The following is a 21,467-nucleotide window of genomic DNA, read 5'->3' on the forward strand; positions in this document are numbered from 1 at the left end:
GTTCTCTGGTCCTCTGCCACCAGGTGGCCCCTATAGTTTCCTGTTGCCTTTCCAGGCCTGAAAGAAGCTACAAACTCTATCTCTTATTCTTGGGTCATGCTTCTTAGTCTTGGGATGAACACATGATATACTACCTCCAGTTGATTTTTAAAAATAACTCACCCAGTTTGTTCATATAACTCAAAAAATATCTTAGTCATATTTTTCATCCTTCTCTTTCAAAAATATCTTTGTTAAAGAAAAGAATAACTTATTGTTCACATCTGTTTCTGGCTTCAGTGTAAGTGGTAAGTGGTAAAAGAATTAGGCCACCAACAGTTAGCTGTTCTCTCTATAGATCTCTTCTAAGCCTGGAAGTATCTGTGTCATTTTGAGTCCTAGTGTGAATTTCCTGGTATAGAGCTGTCAAGCATTTGGTTCAGATGCAAAAACAAACTTACTTTTTTTTCTTGAGACTGAGTCTTGCTCTGTCGCCCGGGCTGGAGTGCAGTGGCGCGATCTCGGCTCACTGCAACCTCTGCCTCCTGGGTTCAAGCGATTCTGCTGCCTCAGGCTCCCCAGTAGCTGGGACTACAGGCGCCTGCCACCATGCCCGGCTAATTTTTTTGTATTTTTAGTTGAGAGGGGGTTTCGCCATATTGGCCAGGCTGGTCTCAAACTCCTGACCTCAGGTGATCCGCCCGCCTCGGCCTCCCAAAGTGCTGGGATTACAGGCGTGAGCCACTGCGCCCGGCCTTTTTTTTTTTTTTTTTTTTTTTTTTTTTTTTAAGAGACAGGGTCTCACTCTGTCTCCCAGGCTGGAGTGCAGTGGTGCAATCCAAATTCACTGCTGCCTCAAACTCCTCGGCTCAAGCAATCCTCCCACCTGAGTCTCCTGAGTAGCTGGGACTACAGGCAAGCACCATCATGCCCAGCTAATTTAAAAATGTTTATAGATATGGGATCTCACTATATTGCCCAGGCTGGTCTCAAACTCCTGGCCTCAAGCAGTTCTCCCTCTTTAGCCTTTCAAAATGCTGAGATTATAGAAGTGAGCCACCATGCCTGGCCAAACTTTTATTTTTGAAAAAGTTTTTCAATTTTTTTTTTATTTTTAAGGCGGAGTCTTGCTTTGTAGCCCAGGCTGGAGTACAGTGTCATGATCTCAGCTCACTGAAACCTCCACCTCCTGGGTTCAAGCAATTCTCCTGCCTCTGCCTCCCAAGTAGCTGGGACTACAGGCGTCTGCCACCACACCTGGCTAATTTTTGTATTTTTAGTAGAGGCGGGGTTTCACTGTGTTGGCCAGGCTGGTCTCAAACTCCTGACCTCAGGCGATCCACCTGCCTCGGCCTCCCAAAGTGCTGGGATTACAGGCGTAAGCCACTGTGCCTAGCCTGAAAAAGTTTTTCTATTGAGCACTTTGTGTCAGCGAAAGGAAAAAAAAAAAAAAAAGGAACCTAACAGAATCATAACTAGACCTTACTTGGATTTGAATTTAACTGCATTGTCTATTTGTGGCATAATTATCATCACTGTTTTTGAATTGAGATTATGTCAATGGATGCTACTTGTGATTATTGCATGTATTAGGTATTTTGATGAAGAATTGTGAAAATGCTTAGGCATGTTAAAGATACAGAATTAGGAGGAATCTCAGACTGAGCGTGGTGGCTCATGCCTGTAATCCCAGCACTTTGGGAGGCCGAGGCGGGTGGATCACCTGAGGTCAGGAGTTCGAGACCAACCTGGGCAACATGGTGAAACCCCGTCTCTGCTAAAAATACAAAAATTAGCCAGGCGTGGTGGCGGGTGGCTGTAATCCCAGCTACGCATAAGGTTGAGGCAGGAGAATTGCTTGAACTGGGAGGTGGAAGTTGCAGTGAGCCAAGATCACGCCATTGCACTCCAGCCTGGGCAACAGGAGCAAAACTCTGTCTCAAAAAAAAAAAAAAAAAAAAAAAAAACGGAATTAGGAGGGATCTCTGATATCCTGGGGAACTGAATTAGAATTCAAAATGACCCTGGAAAATTACATATGTGCATGGAAATTAATGCAATATATATTTACCTGAAGAGTTATAATAGGAATAAGTATAAGGTCATTTACTTATGAAGGAAAAACATGTTTTAGAGAAGCATAATGAGGAAATAATGCTCTTGCACCATGTCACTTGAAAAATATTTTGGGAGACTCAGAGACATTGTGTAATAATATTGAAGTAATAGATCCTAAAATCTAAAAGTATAGCTACCCCTTATTCCAGATTCTATTAATGTCAACCCCAAAATATATCCATCTTTCAAAGATAGCAATATTTAATAACATAACTCATGCTAGTTTTTTGTCTATTTATTTTATTTTACATAGTGTAATCACACCATAGTCAACTTTTGGTTACCTGTGTATGATTTGGGTATTTTATGGATTAACCACAGAAAAATTTTTTTATCACAGTTTAGCTTTTCTTTTATAACAAGCTAAGGTATTACCCTCTGCGATTAGTTGGTATTTGTCAAGAAATATAAATAGTTTTAATATAAGGAAAGTAACTAGGCTATCAAAAATTCAAATGTCTTTCACAAAGTGAAACTGCCCTTTACATTATTATTTATTTCTTCACTACTTCTTGAGCACTTGTCGTATGCAAGACACTACATTACAGTCAGTGAGAATCAGAAAGATAAGCAATAGATGTTTTTGCTCTGGAGGAGTGAAGGATTTGGTGAATTACAACATTGTGACAATTATTTTGAATTACTGATTATTTCTCTCCTTGCATATACTGAGAAAAGACTTCAGAGACTTTGGAAGAGATTTGGTCAATTAAATTTTCTATTATTTCATATGTTAATTGAAATGAAGAAGAAATTTGTACAGCAGATGTAGTACCAAATCAAATATAAATGAAAAGGAATCTCTTAATGTAACTTGAGAAATAACTCCTAAAAGAATTCTGGAGGCCGAGCGCGGTGGCTCACGCCTGTAGTCCCAGCACTTAGGGAGTCTGAGGCGGGCGATTCACGAGGTCAGGAGATCGAGACCAGTCTGGCTAAGATGGTGAAACCCCGTCTCTACTAAAAATACAAAAAATTAGCCGGGCATGGTGGTGGGCGCCTGCAGTCCCAGCTACTCAGGAGGCTGAGGCAGGAGAATGGCGTGAACTCGGGAGGCGGAGCCTGGCAGTGAGCCGAGATCGCGCCACTGCACTCCAGCCTGGGCGACAGAGCAAGACTCCGTCTAAAAAAAAAAAAAAAAGAATTCTGGAGAAGATCTCATTTGTTTCTAACTGAATGAGTGGACTTAAGGAATCGTCAACGGCTTCACGATTTTGAATGTCAATCAAATTTTGTTGATGATTTTAAGAATTTAAATTACCTAGTAGCATGTTGTAAAATCATATTGTTTATAAGTAAGCCATTTCCCACTTATACATAACTTGGATGGAGAAAATACCAGGAGCATATAAGATTGAGCTATTTATAGTTTACCTCTCAATGTTCATTGCTTTTTAATTGGTCTTACTATAAAAAACTTTTTGTTTGTTTTTTGTTTTGTTTTGTTTTTGAGACGAAGTCTCGCTCTTGTGGCCCAGGCTGGAGTGCAGTGGCGCGATCTCGGCTCACTGCAACCTCTGCCTCCCGGGTTCAAGCCATTCTCCTGCCTCAGCCTCCTGAGTAGCTGGGATTACAGGCGCCTGCCACCAAGCCTGGCTAATTTTTGTATTTTTAGTAGAGTTGGGGTTTCATCATGTTGGTCAGGCTGGTCTCAAATTCCTCACCTCAGGCGATCTGCCTGCCTCAGCCTCCCAAAGTTCTGGGATTACAGGCGTGAGCCACCCTGCTCGACTTTATAATAAACATTTTTAAACAAGGAAATAAATACCCTGAAGAATAGCACATGATCTAGAATTCCTAGATTTGTAGTTAACCATTGGGTTTGACAGTATTTTTAAAAAATAAGTAGCATGTGTTTCTTTTAAAACAACTATATTTCAAGAAAACAACTAATTATTTTCTGAAAAGAAAGCATACTTGTTAAAAATTCTTTTCTGGTCCAGGACCAGTTTTGTTGGCCAGAACAGGAATAAGACAGAAAAATAGCCGTGGTTCTGATGACCTGCAGAATGAGTTATTCAGTTCTGTGGCAACAGACCATAACTTGTAACTCTAACTACATCTTCTGAAATAAGTATGTTTCAAAGTAATATGAGTGAAAATCCACAATTTTTGTTTGTTTATTATTAACTAACATTCATACTTTCTTCAGATTTCCTTTGTTTTTAACTTAATATCCTTTTTCTGTTCCAGAGTCCCCCATTACCTTTAGTTGTTATGTCTCCTTAGGCTTCTCCTGTGTATAAGTCCATTTTCTTTTCTTTTCTTTTTTTTTCCGGGGTACAAAAGGTTTATTGCTTATAAAAATAAGTTACCAAACCCCAAGCCCCACAAAACACAAGAACCCCGCATGACGATACCCATGAACACAAGGGCTCATTCTAGTAATAGCTCGCGGAAACGACAAGACACCAGCACTGCCGACACACACGGACGAGGAGCATGCTGCACAGCTTCCTTCTATCAGGTTCTAGAAAAGTCTTCTTTGCCTTCAGTCCACTGGCTAGTGGGAATAATTAGTCTCATCAGCCACAGGGGGGGTCTGCTCCTCAAGAGTGGCCTCAGCACACATGGCGCTGAAAGGGAGGAGCGGCTGTACACATCTGGGCAGTGAGGAACCAGCTGAGCCTTCTGTGGGCTTCCTGAGTGTCTGGGAAGTTGCCGGGTGGGGTCTCACGCTGGGGCCAGCGTGGGGGCTTACTGCCGGCAGGTGTCATGGAAGGCTTCGAGGGTTCGGAAATCCCTCCATGTCGGGGGAAGGCCGTCCTGCAGAAACTTCCCGCAGTGCTGGCATGGGGCCTGGAACAGCTTTATGTAACTTCTTAACCAGGTCATGAAGGATCGGACTACGACATCCGGCATCTGGGGCAGCTGATAGTGGAGCAGGGCCGTGGTGGCGTGGTCTGTCACCTTCTGGAATACTTGATAGTTGGATTTGGACCATATATCAAGCTTGCCATCTTCTGTGTAGACATTCTCGTTATATCCCTTTACTATTGTTCGATCAATGAACAGGCTCCGCATGATGACGATCACTTTCAACACCTTTCCCAAGGTCACCAGAAGCATTGCTGATGTTCCATTGGGTCTGGATAAGTGGATGGACATTTCAGGAAACATCCTGTCAATGCGGCTGATCACATCATCAACATATTGAGGTGGTAGGACAAGAGTTGTGGGCTGAGCCTTTGGTCTACTTTTGGCAGATACTCCCATCTGATTAGCGGAACGCTTCAACGACTACTGATTTAAAAGGCCAGATGCTAGTCCTGCATGGTACTGCAACTTGTTTGACCACTTATATGCTTGAAGGAGTTGACTATAGAGAGGAGTTTTGTCCTGCACAGGATCCAGGCTTAACAGCCCACTGTTATGAAGAGGATGGTTCTCAGATGGCTTGCCTACCAGATTGCTCAGACGTTCCAGCTCATTGAGGTCCCGGTTGACCGAATGTAAGTTGTCCTGGAAGTGCGCAATGAAGGCCTTCTCCCGGCCCTCCAGCGTCTCCTTGTTCCGCATCCCATCCTTCAGGCAGTCGAACAACCTGCTCACGCTGGAGCGCAGCGCCTGGATGGCACTAATGGCCTGGGAAAAGGCCTCCAGGTTCACACTGACATTTATCACGTCCGCCATGTTGCCGCCGCCACAGCCAAGTCCATTTTCGTACTGCTGTAAAGGCCTGCCAGAGACTGGATAATTTACAAAGGAAGGAGGTGTAACTGACTTACAGTTCAGCACGGCTGGGGAGGCCTCAGGAAACTTACAATCATGGTGGAAGGTGAAGGGGAAACATGGCACCTTCTTCACAAGGCAGCAGGAAGAAATGCAAGTAGGGGAAATGCCAGATGCTTATAAAACCATCAGATCTCGTGAGACTCACCCTCTATCACGAGAATAGCATGGGGAAACCCCCCTCATGAGCCAGTTACCTCTACCTGATCCTGCCCTTGACAAATGGGGATGATGGGAATTATAATTTAAGATGAGATTTTGGGCGGGGACACAGCCAAACTATATCATCCTGACTATGACTGTTTTTAGATTTTCCATGTTTTTGATAAACTTGAAAGTTTTGAGAAGTACTGGCCAGTTATGTTGTGGGATGTCCCACTATGGGACGTCATCTGCTGGTTTTCTCATTAGGTTAAATTGGGTTATGAGATATGAAAGGAGACTAGAGAGGTTAAAAAATGCCATTTTTCAGAAGGGCATGGTGGCTCGTGCCTGTAATCCCAGCACTTTGGGTGGCCAAGGTGGGTGGATTGATTGAGTCCAGGAGTTCAAGACCAGCTTGGGCAACATAGTGAGACCCCATCTTTACAAAAAATACAAAAATTAGCTGGATGTGGTGGTGCACCTGTAGTCTCAGCTACTTGGGAGGCTGAAGCAAGAGGATCACTTGGGCTGGGGAAGTGAAGGCTGCAGCGAGCTGTGATTGTGCCACTGCACTCCAGCCTGGGCAACAGGGCAAGACCCTGTCTTTTAAAAAAAAAAAAAAAAAAAGGAGATTACAACTGAATGTCAGAGTGGATTTAGAGGAAGTTTTCATTATCTAGAATATCTAGAATATGAATGACTGACAATACATAATATATATGCATTATTAATTTTCAAAAGAGTAAAACATTTTTAAAAACTTGCCTCTACTGTTATACACACTATCTTTATATATATGTATGTATATATATATATAATTTACAAGGCATTTCAGGACTTTGCAGTGACTGCATCAGGATCATCAACAAGAGTGACAATGTAATTAAATCAGTAAGCAATAGATGTTGTTGACTTGAGCAACAGATAGTCCCACATTTTACTAAAGACCTAGAAAGTATAAAAATTTTACATAAATTTATGCTAACTATATTACTACTAGAAATTCAATAAAATAATTAGCTAATTTTATGTTATCTTGTTTACTGACCCCAACCCCTGTCACTCTCGAAAACGTGGTTATTTGGATGTTTTCATCTTTGGAATGTTGGATGTATAAGGAATTATTCTGTCACTCTTCCCAAGGATCTTCAGTGAGTATCGCTATAGACATTGCAAATATGAGTGTCCTTAGAGCACTGAAAAAGCAGCTCTAACAAGAAGAATTGCTAAAAAATAGTATTGGGTACAAAAGGACAATGGGCTCTCAGCTGATGGTCTGTTCTTGAGGGACTGTTTTCCTGCTTAACAAACAACTGTCTTAACACCAAGAACTAGTGATGTGTAGGTTTGGATCACAGCTAAAGACCAAAATTGTTAACAATTAGGAGTTTGTAAAAAGACAATGAGTAGGCTCTTGGTATGAGCAATTTTGCATATGAAACTCACGGCTATAATCAATGGGTAGGAGGTGCTCTCAGTCTGTCATAGTACGTTTAGACTGGCATAAAAAAATACCATCAACTGGGCAGCTTACAAACAACAGAAATGTATTTCTCACAGATCTGGAGGCTGGGAAGTCCAAGATCAAGGCACTGGCAGATTCTGGTGAGGAGAGCTTTCTAATTTATAGACAGTGCCTTCTTCCTGTGCCTTCATGTGGTGGAAAGGAGGAGCAAGCTCCCGTGGGCCGATTTTATAAGAGCACTAATCGGTAATCCCAGCACTTTGGGAGGCCGAGGCGGGCGGATCATGAGTTCAGGAGATCGAGACCATACTGGCTAACATGGTGAAACGCCGTCTTTACTAAAAATACAAAAATTAGCCGGGCGTGCTGGCGGGCGCCTGTAGTCCCAGCTACTTGGGAGGCTGAGGCAGGAGAATGGCGTGAACCCAGGAGGCGGAGCTTGCAGTGAGCCGAGATCGCGCCACTGCACTCCAGCCTGGACGACACAGTGAGACTCCGTCTCAAAAATAAATAAATAAATAAATAAAGAGCACTAATCCCATGAGAGCTCTGCCCTGATGACCTAATCATCTCCCAAAGGCCCCACCTCATAATACTATCACACTGGGGATTAGGTTTCAACATATGAATTGGGGGGTGGGGGAAGGAACACAAACATTCAGACCATAGCACTATTTTTTGGAATATTTCTGTTCATAAACTTGCCATCAGATATTTATAGTTTGTGGTTACAGTTTATGTGAACTAGCTTAGAAGAAGGGCCTGTTTCAGTTGGCACAGGAATATCATTTTATTTCCATGCCGGGAGCAAATGCTGAAATCTGAATGCACTTTTTTGTGCCTGTTTTGTCAAAGCCAAAGTGAACTACTTATTAAAAATTGGGAGATATATTTCAAATATGACTGTATCAATGCCCTTAGCCAAAAGCCACTAGGAATATGCTGCCAGTTAAACAAATTGGGTTTGTTACTCATTGCAGCGAGGGAGAACAGGCGCCACAGGGAACTGTGGGATATTGCAGCACAGGGGTGTTAGAAAAACTTTCTAGGATTTGGGTTTATGTTAGGTGATTTTGAAGGGTTCAAGGAAGCTGGGTTTGCTCTTGATTGGAGACTCTCAGGATGTAGGGGCAATTCTATGATTAGGTATCTTACCATATTTTATCTAAGGGAAGGGAAGACCAGACCCATGCTAAAGGTGTAATTGGGAAAAAAGCAGCAGGCACTTATATTAATATTTGCCAGGATAGGGAGATGTTTGGTATTTTGAGGCTTGGGCAATGTTCATGCTTTGTCTGTATTCAGATATGATTATGGGGAGGCCTTATTTTTGTCTTTATCCATCATGGTCACAGAGTGACTTTATATGATGTTGATGTTCGGTGAAATTGTTAGTGTTTCACAGGAAAACACTGTGGCCTAACTGCCAGTGCCAGGCCAGCTTCTGATGTCAAGGGCTGCGTTTCTCTTTCTCAACTACTAGGTTATTAATTGGCTAAAATAACATTCATTTCAAAGATTGCTTCCAATATTCTCCATGTTTTATTCGAAATACAAAACAGACACCATTGCATTTCTACGGGTCTGCTAAATTATTGCAATTTTCTTGGTCAACTTCAGAATTAAATCCTTATCATGAAGTTCTTTGGCACTAAATTTAAGAATCAAAGGGTATGCATTTTTCATTCCTCATTTTACAAAATTTTGATCTGTACAGGGTGGCAATCCAGTAAAACATCAATATGTCTCAGCATCTTGTCTCAATTTTATAGTCTTGGAAATTCAGTATATTAGATCATCCACATGAGACTGGGTTCCAGGGCATACAGGAACCCTAACCAAAAATACAGGAGCCTAATTTAGCTGCAAGAATGCTTATGTGTTAATTCACAATAAGAAGTATAAACATCAAAAGTTATAATAGTTAACTCTTACTGAGTGCCTACTATAGGAAGCATGTGACATTCATTAGTCCATGAAACCTTCACAATGGCCTTATGTGGTAGTCACTGGGTCATTTGGAAAACACTAGACTTACCATCTCTGTCCGACCCTCCTCTTCTTCAGGAGCCTCCTAATTATCCTAACTTCTCTCTCAATCTCTCGCTTTCTCTCTCTTATTTCCAAGTCTCATTCCCAAGAGTTGTTGCATCCGCTAACAGTTTCATGCTTTTGCAATACCCATTTCTCCACTGGTATATTTTCTCATCATTTAGACCAACATACTAGGAGGGTGTCGAAAACTGAGAGGTTCTTTTGCACTTCCCTTTCTTTGGAAAAAAAAAAAACCCTCAAAGATGTCTAGAATGTTATATTACTTATGTTTATTTATGTAATCATGAATGAATTCTATGGTTATTACAGATTAGATATTAAATGTGTTGGTGTTTTATGTTAGTCTAACTTGAAACTAGGCTCACAAATGTAATAATCTTACAGTAATCTCTTTTTTATTAAAAAAATCACATGCATCAGCTTAATATATTTTGCTCTATATTTGCTCAGTCATGCATCTCTAATGCTTCAAGATCAGGTTCAACGACTTGGATCCAGAAGATTCATATATATTAGAGTCTGGGTTTTGGGGGGTGGGTGAGAGAGAGTAGTTTTGTCCTTGTCGTTGTTTTGTTACAATACATGCTTATGGTTAAAAAAAAGAAAAGGAAAGTATGAAAGAAACAGAGCACAAAGAATAAACAAAACACAACGAACGTAATCCTCCCACCTAGAGGCAACCAGTTACTGATAACATTCTGGGTTGTACCCTTCTAGAGGTTTCTCTATACATTCCACATCATGGTGTATGCACAATTGAGTTCTCTGCTTTTTTCCCACATTACATCACATTATAAGCATTTTCTCCATCTTTAAAAACGTAAACATATAATTTAATTTAATTATGCATGCAATACATAAATAAAATGTCTCCTTTTTCAAATATTAAAGTGTTTAGGTGTAAAGATAGGTATCAATAGAATTTCGAACACCACTCCCACGTAGAAGTGTCCTCAGTATGAAAATATCAGAGTTTATTTAGTCATTGTCCTGAGTTATTTCCATTATTTTCCTATTCCAACATTGCTGCAATGAATTTCCTTTAATATATGCTTCTTCAGGGTAGGTAAGTAGAAATGGAATTTCTGGGTTATAAATGTGAAAATTATTTAGTTATAGTAGACATATTTAATGCTTAAATTAAAAAATCTATTGCATGTTTTTAATGTTCAGCTTCAAATACTTTGGTGAAAATATCTTTGTTTATATATTTTTGTGTTTATTTCATGTTATTTCCTTAAATTTCTAAAAGAACTACTCAAAGGTTATAAAATGTTTTAGACCTCCTGATAGCATCAAATCATTTTTCAGAAGGATTATTTCAGTTTAGAATCTCCTGGGAATGAATGGGATACTCATTTTACCCTCCAGGCCAACATTAGGTGTTATCATTTAAAATATATTGTTTTCAATTTGATAGGGAAGAAATGGCATGTTATTTTAATTTGCATTTCTATGATAACTGGTGAGTTTGAACATTTTATATGTTTACTAATCATTTTAACTTCCTGTATTATAAATTGTCTTTTCATATCCTTTTTCCATTGTATACTAAAGCCTTTGTGTTTTCCGTATCAATTTTCAGAGCTAGTTTCATGGGCCCGTACCTGTGTATTCACACTGGGTCCCACACTTACAAGGGCCTCGAACTTGGTTTAATGCTCTGCTGTCGCCATCTTAGAATTGTTAACAATTTTAGGACAAAAATTTCCACCTTTCATTTTGCACTGGGCTCCAGAAATTATGGGGCTCCACAAATTATATAGCCAGTCCTGTCAGTTTATATATATTAGCTTTATATATAACAAGAGTATCAGCTTTGGTTACATGTTACAACAAACAATTTTTTCTTCAGCTTTTATTTTCTGCGAACAAAAATACATGCTCATTGTAAATCTTAAATTTTATAAGATATATAGTATAGAAAGTAAAAGTGGCTAATAATCCCATGTCTGACAACCCCACTGTTAAGTTTTGTGTTTTATATCTATATCTATCTATCTATCTCCAAATTTCAAACTGTTTTTTACAATAGTGGCTACCACTCTCCAGTTGGTTGTGAGCTGTTTGAGTGTAAGATAACCATGAACCCACAAAGAGCTGCCGCTTAAAAATTAATGATCTGCTTCTCCACCCTCTTCCAAAGAAAAACTCCACTTCCTTCTTCCATCATAATAGGAAGCTTCTTCTTTTGGTGAATATGACACAGTTTCATTTACTACACTTTATGTTCAAAGTGTATTTATTTACCTTCAAACACTTTTTATTACTTACACCATTTTGTTTTCATTGTTCTGATTTTTCTATTTGTAAGAATTGTTTGGATGTCTTGGGATGGAATACACTGTGATCATAATTTTTCTCCATTAAAATGAATGAAAATACTTTTTCACTTAATGGCAAGATCTTCAGGAACAATTTAAAGTCATTAATTGAGGCCTACGTATTATTTTATTTATATATTCTATGAAAATGAACAATCCATTTTGTATCCTGCCTTTATCAAGGGCACTATATCTTGGACATCTTTCTGTAACAGTATATATAACTTTAAAAGTAAAGATTTTAAGACAGATTTTTGTATGTAATCTTGTTTAATGCAAATAAGCTTTAAATAGTATTTGTTCTAAAATCTCCTTCCTTGTTTTTTTCAAGAGAATTAAATCATTTATTGATTACACATGATAATGGATGATACACAAGCTTCATTCCCATCTATAATTTTATCTAGTACCATTATTCAATTTAGATATATTGCATAGGATGTGCCAACAATCACTTTTATAACCAATAATTCCATGATTTTGCTTGGGTAATCCCTTTTAATGGTGAACTTCAGGTCACAACGGTAACTATCAGTTCAACTACACCAAGGTTTCTGAAGACAATGGCTTCTCCCTCCAAGCAGGTTGTATATAAATTCCAAATAGAACCTGGCATCACCCTGAAGGAATTCTAACTTCACACTGTTGGGGAAATTTACCAAGATGGCTTCAGAGTAGACTAACTTTACACAGCACATTAAAAAGAAAAGACATTTATTCAGCATCACGATCAGACTATTACATTAGCAATCAACAGCATAGGTGCAAAAAAAAAATCTACATTAAAACCCTTTGTTGGAATGCTTTACACTTTCCACAGAACAGAAACTAAAATAACCTGTTATACAATTAGTCACAAATACAGTCCTCGAGTTTTTTGCCCATACACATGAGTATTTGTCTAAAACATGTCTTCTTTGTAGCAGCTAGGCCCTGCCACCACTGTGCTTGGCTGAGTTCACAAATCTGTTGTAACCTGTAGCTTCCCTGTCACTTCTCTGGCTCTCCGCTCCTGCTAAGCTTTGTTTCCTAATTAAAATCTTCTGCCACTGCCATAGCTACCGCTGCTACTGGAACCGCCATAGCCACCTTGGTTTTGTGGTTTTGCAAAGTATTGGCCTCCACCACCATAAGGGCCAGAGCTTCTGCCTCCAAAATTTCCTCCCTTCATGGGTCCAAAATTTGAAGACTGATTGTTGTAATTGCCAAAATCATTGTAGCTTCCACCACCTCCAAAATCGCTTCCATCATTACCAAATCCATTATAGCCATCCCCACTGCCACCATATCCACCACCACCATGACTGCCACCAAAGCCACCACAACCACTGAAGTTTCCTCCATGACCAAAGTTGTCATTCCCACCGAAACCACCTCCACGACCACCACCAAAGTTTCCAGAACCACTTCGACCTCTTTGGCTGGATGAAGCACTATCCATCTCTTGCTGTGACGGGGCTTTCCTAACTTCACAGTTGTGGCCATTCACAGTATGGTATTTCTGAATGACAATCTTATCCATGGAGTCATGGTCGTCAAAATTTACAAAGGCAAAGCCCCTTTTCTTGCCACTGCCTCGGTCAGTCATGATTTCAATCACTTCAATTTTTCCATACTGTTCAAAATCATCTCTTAGGTGATGTTCTTCAGTGTCTTCTTTAATGCCACCAACAAATATCTTTTTCACAGTTAAGTGGGCACCTGGTCTTTCAGAATCTTCTCTCGAGACAGCTCTCTTTGGTTCCACAACTCTTCCATCCACCTTGTGTGGCCTTGCATTCATGGCTGCATCCACCTCCTCCACAGTAGCATATGTGACAAACCCAAAGCCCCTGGGGTGCTTGGTGTTTGGATCTCTCATGACCACACAGTCCGTGAGCATTCCCCATTGCTCAAAATGGCTCCTCAAGGCTCTCATCAGTTGTTTCAAAGCTCAGCCCTCCAATGAAGAGCTTCCTCAGCTGTTCGGGCTCTTCAGGAGACTCTGACTTAGACATGACGGCAGGGTGAAGAGAGACTTTAACAATGCTTCTTCGGCGGTGTCCATGGGCAGAAAAAAAAAAAAATCCTAAAATCTCCTTTGTAGTGTTAATTAATATGCTGTTGTGCATGCCTTTCTTCTAGGCCCTTTTTTTTTTTTTTTTGAGACAGTCTCACTCCATTGCCCAGGCTGGAGTGCAGTGGCACAATCGCTGCTCACTGCAACCCCTGCCTCCTGGGTTCAAGCGATTCTCCTGCCTCAGCCTCCCAAGTAGCTGGGACTATAGGTGTGCGCCATGACGCTGGCTAATTTTTGTATTTTTAGTGGAGATGGGGTTTCACCATATGGGCCAGGCTGGTCTCGAACTCCTGACCTCAAGTTATCCACCCGCCTCGGCCTCCCAAAATGCTGGGATTACAGGTGTGAGCCACCGCACCTGGCAGCCCTTTTTAATTTAATATGATTGCTGGCTTCTGGGCTTATCATATATATCTAGTAACTTGTGACTTACAGGATATGCAAAGGTTGGTGGTGTATGATTTACTTGCAATCGAATGTAGAATTTTCCTCAAATAATATGACATTTATATTTATGGGGGAAAGTTACAGCGTGCTGGCTCTTCTTCTAATGGTTATTTGACGTTTTGCTTCAAATCATAAGTCTTGATACCCAAATCAATCTCAAGATTCCTCTCTGTAGAAAGAAGCTACAACTCACATTTGAAGCTATGTGCTTCTTTCACTATTCTGACTGTGCAGTCCATTTCTATTCTTAGGAGAAGTAAAACAGGTGAGTCTTAGTGTGCTTAAACCTCCTCATAAAGCTGCTTTGCTTCATGGTCCAGGAATTTTGATTCCTTTCATTTCCCTGCCCTCCTCTGCCTGCCTAACCTTTTAAGAAAAATACCTAATTCTAAATCCCTTGGTACCTCATCATGACCACAAATGTGTAGTCAGAGATAATTTAAACTCTCCCTTTTCCATGCCACTAGGGAAATTGTTTGCTTATTCTATAAACTACAAATATTATAGGTGTGAGGAACAATTATATGATGTTGTATTTTCTTTATCAAATTTTGCAAACTTTTGTCCTCTCCTCCCTCCCTCCTTTCTTCTATCCTTCCCTTCCTTCCTTTCTTCCCTCCCTCCTTTCTTCTATCCTTCCCTTCCTTCCTTCCCTCCCTCCTTTCTTCTTTCCTTCCTTCCTTCTCTCTTTCTTTCTTTCATTCCTTCCTTCCTTCCTTCCTTCCCTCCCTCCTTTCTTCTTTCCTTCCTTCTCTCTCTTTCTTTCTTTCATTCTTTACTTCCTTCCTTTCTCTTTCTTTCTTTTTCTTTCTTTTTTCCTTCTTTCTTTTCTTCTTTCTTTCCTTCCTTTATCTCTCTCTTTTCTTTTCTTTCTTTTAGATAGAAATGGGGTCTCACTACATTGACTAGGCTGACTGCGAACTTGTGGACTCAAGTGATCCACCCACCTCAGCCCGCCAAAGTGTTGCAATCATAGGTGTGAGCCACCATGCCTGGCCCATTCCACATTTTTTACTTGTACATACACACACACACACATATACATATATACATATATATATGCACACATTTATCTTCAATTGTACATTTGTTCTACATGATCTAACCGCAAGCTTTATCTTATTTTATTTATTTATTTATTTATTTATTTTAATTTATTTTTAAGACAGTGTCTTGCTCTGTTGCCCAGACTGGAGTGCAGTGGCAGATCTCGGCTCACTGCAACCTCCACCTCCTGGGTTCAAGTGACTCTTCTGCCTCAGCCTCCCAAGTAGCTGGGACTATAGGCACCCACCACCATGCCTGGCTAATTTTTGTATTTTTAGTAGAGCCAGGGTTTCACTATGTTGGCCAGGCTGGTCTCGAACTCCTGTCCTCAAATGACCCACCCACCTCGGCCTCCCAAAGTGCTGGGATTACAGGCATGAGCCACCATGCTCAGCCTATTTTTTTTTTTTTTTTTTTTTTTGAGAGAGCCTCTTGCTCTGTTACCCAGGCTGGAGTGCAGTGAAGTAGTCATGACGCACTGCAGCCTCAAATTCCTGTGCTCAAACCATCCTCCTGCCTCAGCCTCCCAAGAAGCTGGGACTAGAGGCAACGCAACCACACCTGGCATTTTTTATATTTTTTGTAGAAACTGGGTCTCACTATGTTGCCCAGGCTGGCCTCTAACTCCTAGACTCAAGTGATCCTCCCACCTCATTTCCCGAAATGCTGGGATTACAGATGTGAGGTGCCACACCTGACTGCAAGCTTTATTAAATTCTTATTTTTTCCATCTTATCAGCTCATATTTTCTTGTTAGTATTCGTTTGCCTGCTTTTTCTTCTCCATCAAAAATCTGTACCTATAAAATCAACTTTTTTTTTTTTTTTGCTATTCTAAACACATTTCTACAGTTTGTTTGAGAAGCATTTTCCATGCTTTTTTTTTTTTTTTTTGAGATGGAGTCTTGCTCTGTTGCCAGGCTGGAGTGCAATGGTGCAATTTTGGCTCACTGCAACCTCAGCTCCCTGGGTTCAAGCAATTCTCTTGCCTCAGCCTCCCCAGTAGCTGGGATTATAGGTGCCCGCCACCACGATGCACTAATTTTTATATTTTTAGTAGAGGCAGGGGTTTCACCATGTTGGCCAAGCTGGTCTCGAACTCCTGACCTCAGGCGATCTGCCCACCTCGACCTCCCAAAGTGATGGGATTACAAGCGTGACCCACCACGCCCAGCTCCGTACACTCTTAACCAGGAGATTGTTTGTTTTTTCGCACACAATATCTAATGATGAGCTGTTTTATAGCATGAATTTAGTTAATGCCAAAGTACAGCATTTATTTTTAGCAAATGAATCAGCAAGAACAATAAAGCTGTTTTAATCAGACCAAATATGAAATCAAGTGTTATAGATGGCCTTCGCATATAATTTATATCTGCATTTGTTTTGGCTATAAAGTGTGGGGGACATTCTAACTCATTCACATTCTAGCAGATATTTAATAGCTCGATTTTCTTGATACTCTTCAATTAAACAGACAGCAGAGGAAGCTTTATTCTGAGGTCTATACAAAATGAATTATCTGGTAGTGTAAGTATCAATTTGTTGGTAACCTCCAGGATATTTCTGTATAACATATTGAGAATTCATTTTGTTTTCTAAATCATAGTTTTATTTTTTAATTAATTATTATTTATTTATTTTGAAACAGAGTCTTGCTCTGTCACCCAGGATGGAGTGCAGTGGAGCAATCTCGGCTCATTGCAACATCTGCCTCCCAGGTTCGAGCAATTCTTGTTCCTCAGCCTCCTGAGTAGCTGGGATTATAGGTGTGTACCATTTCCGCCGCTAATATTTTTTGTATTTTTAGTAGAGACGTGGTTTTGCTATGTTGGCCAAGCTGGTCTCGAACTCCTGTCCTCAAGCAATCTGCCCACCTCGGCCTCCCAAAATGCTGGGATTACAGGCATAAGCCACCAGACCTGGCCCTAAATCAGAGTTTTAATGTAAAATTCTAATCAAATATTTGCGAACCTCTAAAGAACCTCCTTAGAATCTTAGGATTTGGGCCGGGCATGGTGGCTCATGCCTGTAATACCAGCACTTTGGGAGGCCCAGGCAGGCGGATCACTTGAGGTCAGGAGTTCAAGACCAGCCTGGCCAACATAGTGAAACCCCGGCTCTACTAAAAATACAAAAATTAGCCAGGTGTGGTGGCGGGCACCTGTAATCCCAGCTACTCGGGAAGCTGAGACAGGAGAATCGCTTGAACCTGGGAGGCAGAGGTTGCAGTGAGCCGAGATTGTGTGAGTTCACTCCAGCCTGGGTGACAGAGCAAGACTTTGTCTCAAAAAAAGCCAACAACAACAACAACAACAACAACAAACTTAGGATTCTACAGAACTCAGGTTGAAAACCAGAGATCTAGAGTACTAGACCATTGGGCCAAGAATCTGTGTTTGTTACTCAAATTTCCTGGGCTTCAGAGGCAGTCTTTCTCACATCAGATTGTGTAAGGTTAAAAAAAAAATTTTTAAGTCCTTTTTTTTAAGCAACAGGGTCTTGCTCTATCACCCAGGTTAGAGGGCAGTCACATGATCATAGCTCACTGCAGCCTCGAACTCCTGGGCAATCAAATGATTCTCCTGCCTCAGCCTCCTGAGTAGCTGGGACTATAGGCACACAGCAGCACACTCGGTTATTTATTTATTTATTTATTTATTGTAGAGACAGGGTCTCACTTTCTTGCCCAAGCTGGTCTTGAACTCCTGGCTTCAAGTGATTCTCCCCCCATGGCCTCCCAAATTGCTGGAATTACAAGTGTAAGCCACCTCAAATGGCCAAGTACATTTTTTAATGAAGGATTACCAATGCAACATAATATGTTGGAAAAACTTGAAATCAGAGAACGTTCATTATTCTTACTATTAGTAGAAGGCATGCTATATACTACACACTCTGATAAGTACTTTATAAGTACTATCCAATTAAATTTTCTCCAAAAAGAGCTATCCTGTGGAGTAGCTACTACTATTAGCCTTTCTTTTATGAGATGGAGTCTCACTATGTTGTCCGGGTTGGAGTGCAGTGGCTATTCACAGTTACAATCATCGCACACTACAGCCTGGAACCCCTGAGCCCAAGTGATCCTCAGGCCTCTGCCTTCCGAGTAGCTGGGACTACAGTCATATGCCACGATGCCTGGCAGCCCTATTTTTTAAAATCAACTTTTATTTTAAGTTCTGGCATATATGTGCAGGTTTGTTACATAGGTAAATATGTGCCATGGTGGTTTGCTGCACAGATCAACCCATCACCAGGTATTAAGCTCAGCATCCATTAGCTGTTCTTCCTGATGGTCTCCCTCCCCTGCAACCACCTCCAACAGTCCTCAGTGTGTGTCGTTCTCCCCCATGTGTTCATGTGTTCTCATAGTTCAGCTTCCACTTGCGGTAGCTTGTTCCACTTGCGGAACATGTGGTGTTTGGTTTTTTGTACCTGCACTAGTTTGCTGAGAATAACGGCTTCCAGCTCCATCCATGTCCCTGCAAAGGACATGATCTCATTCCTTTTTATGGCTGCATAGTATTCCGTGGTGTATATGCACCATATTTTCTTTATTCAGTCTACTGTTGATAGGCATTTGGGTTGATCCCATATCTTTGCTCTTGTGAATAGTACTGCAATGAACATATGCGTGCATGTATCTTTATAATAGAATGATTTCTATTCCTTCAGGTATATACCTAGTAATGAGATTGCTGGAGCAAATAGTATTTCTGTTTGTAGATCTTTGGGGAATCACGACACTGTTTTCCACAATAGTTGAACTAATCTCATTCCCACCAACAGTGTAGAAGTGTTTCTTTTTCTTCGCAACTTCACCAGTATCTGTTGTTTTTTGTCTTTTTAATAATTGCCATTCTGACTGGCATGAGATGGTACTGCATTGTGGTTTTGATTTGCATTTCTCTAATGATCTGTGACGTTGAGCTTTTTTTCATCTGTTTGTTGGCTGCACGGATGTCTTCTTTTGAGAAATGTCTATGCATGTCCTTTGCCCACTTTTTAATGGAGTTGTTTGTTTTTTTCTTGTAAATTTGTTTAAGTTCCTTGTAGACTCTGGATATTAGACCTTTGTCAGATGGATAGATTGCAAAAATTTTCTCTTATTCTGTAGGTTGTCCGTTAAAAATATGGAATGCTTCACAAATTTGCATGTCATCTTTGTGCAGGGGCCATGCTAATCTTCTCTGTATCAATCCAATTTTAGTATATATGCTGCCAAAGTGAGCACAGCAGCCTTGTTTTATAGGTGGAAATACTGAGGCTTGGAGTGGTTGATATGCTTAAGGTCACACAAGCAGCAAGTGGTAGAGCTAGAATTCAACCCAAATTGTGGTATTTTTTTGGGTAGAAAACGAATGTCTTCAATTTATACAGCATCTTGAATTGAGAAGCCTCAAGTTAATAAATGATGGTAATAACCACTGTTTTGATGATCCAGGGCCAGTTCTGACTGCTGAATGTAACATTTTCCATAAGTATGTGCTATAGAATTGCCTAGGAAATTCTATTTTAAGCTGTACGTTTAAGTGGTGAGTTACTGACTACCGCTCTTTTTTCTGTTTTTATTTTTACATATTATTTTAGCCACTGATGCTAGACAACTTCAGAAATTTAGGGACGTATACTAATTGTTTTTCAAAAGAACATTTCTTATAGTATAACTAAATTTTTTAAATGTATGTGTGTGTTTTTTTTTTTTTTTTTTTTTGAGACAGAGTCTCGCCCTGTCGCCCAGGCTAGAGTGCAATGGCACAATCTCAGCTCACTGCAACCTCCGCCTCCGAGGTTCAAACGATTCTCCTGCCTCAGCCTCCTGAGTAGTTGGGATTACAGGCAGCTGCCACCATGCCCAGCTATTTTTTGTATTTTTAATAGAGATGGGGTTTCACCATGTTGGCCAGGATGGTCTCGAACTCCTGACCTTGTGATCTGCCCGCCTCGGCCCCTAAAGTGCTGAGATTACAGGTGTGAGCCACTGTGTCCAGCTGACCAAATTGTTTTTAATTAGAGTGTCTACATACACTCCTATACCATCATACTTCTTTAATTTCTTTGGGAAAAAAATTAGTACCAGAAATGATGTAATACTTTATGTGCCTATTCTCTTTATTTATGTTTTAATTCTATTTAATAAGTATTGTTGCTTACTAGTTCAAGCTCAAAAAGCATGCATAAAAAACCAAATTTAAAAATTTAGTTATACTATAAGAAATTTTCTTTTGAAAAACAATAAGTCCCTAAATTTCTCAAGTTGTCTAGCATCAGCGGCTAAAAACCATATTTTATGCATGCTTTTTGAGCTTGGACTGGTAAGTAACAATATTTATTAAGTAGAATTAAAACATAAATAAAGAGAATAGGCACATAAAATATTACATCATTTCTGGTACTAATTTTTTTCCCAAAGAAATTAATAAGTATGATGGTATAGGAGTGTATTTAGACACTCTGATTAAAAACAATTTGGTCAGCCAGGTGTGGTGGCTCACGCCTGTAAACCCAGCACACTGGGAGGCTGAGGCAGAAAGATCACTGGAGGTCAGGAGTTTGAGACCAGCCTGGCCAACATGGCGAAACCCCATCTCTACCAAAAATACAAAAAATTAGCCAGGAGGCTGAGGCAGGAGAATTAGTAATCCCAGCTACTTGGGAGGCTGAGGCAGGAGAATCGTTTGAACCTGGGAGGCAGAGGTTGCAGTGAGCCGAGATTGCACCACTATACTCCAGCCTGGGTGACAGAGCGAGATTCCATCTCAAAAATAACCTCCAAAAAACAAAAAACAATTTGGTGGTCTAGCATGGTGACTCCTGACTGTAATCTCAACGCTTTGGGAGGCCAAGGCAGGATTATCAGTTGAGTCCAGGAGTTTGAGACCAGCCGGGGCAATATAGACCCTGATTCTATTTAACAAAACAAAACAATTTAGTATCACATTCTTTTTAAGAATGATTTGAAATATAAAAAAGTATACTTTGTGTTCTAATAATGGAAGTAAAAATATTCTTATTTAATCACTTTCTGTTTATAGAATATACAGCAAATATACTCTGTCGGCAAGTCTGTGGGGAAACAGGCTGTCTAATATATT

General features: G+C 40.4%; 3 pseudogenes across 1 annotated transcript; all 3 read right to left on the minus strand.

The window, feature by feature from the left end:
- Positions 1-4,378: 4,378 nt before the first annotated feature.
- CRSP8P (mediator complex subunit 27 pseudogene) lies at positions 4,379-5,740 on the minus strand (annotated as a pseudogene). Its single transcript, NR_003665.1, has one exon. The product of NR_003665.1 is annotated as a mediator complex subunit 27 pseudogene (transcript).
- Positions 5,741-12,653: 6,913 nt separating this feature from the next.
- On the minus strand, positions 12,654-13,873 carry HNRNPA1P12 (heterogeneous nuclear ribonucleoprotein A1 pseudogene 12; annotated as a pseudogene).
- Positions 19,501-19,606, minus strand: RNU6-211P (RNA, U6 small nuclear 211, pseudogene; annotated as a pseudogene).

Source organism: Homo sapiens, chromosome 5 (genome assembly GCF_000001405.40).
Source record: "Homo sapiens chromosome 5, GRCh38.p14 Primary Assembly".
In the NCBI taxonomy this organism is placed as follows: domain Eukaryota; kingdom Metazoa; phylum Chordata; class Mammalia; order Primates; family Hominidae; genus Homo; species Homo sapiens.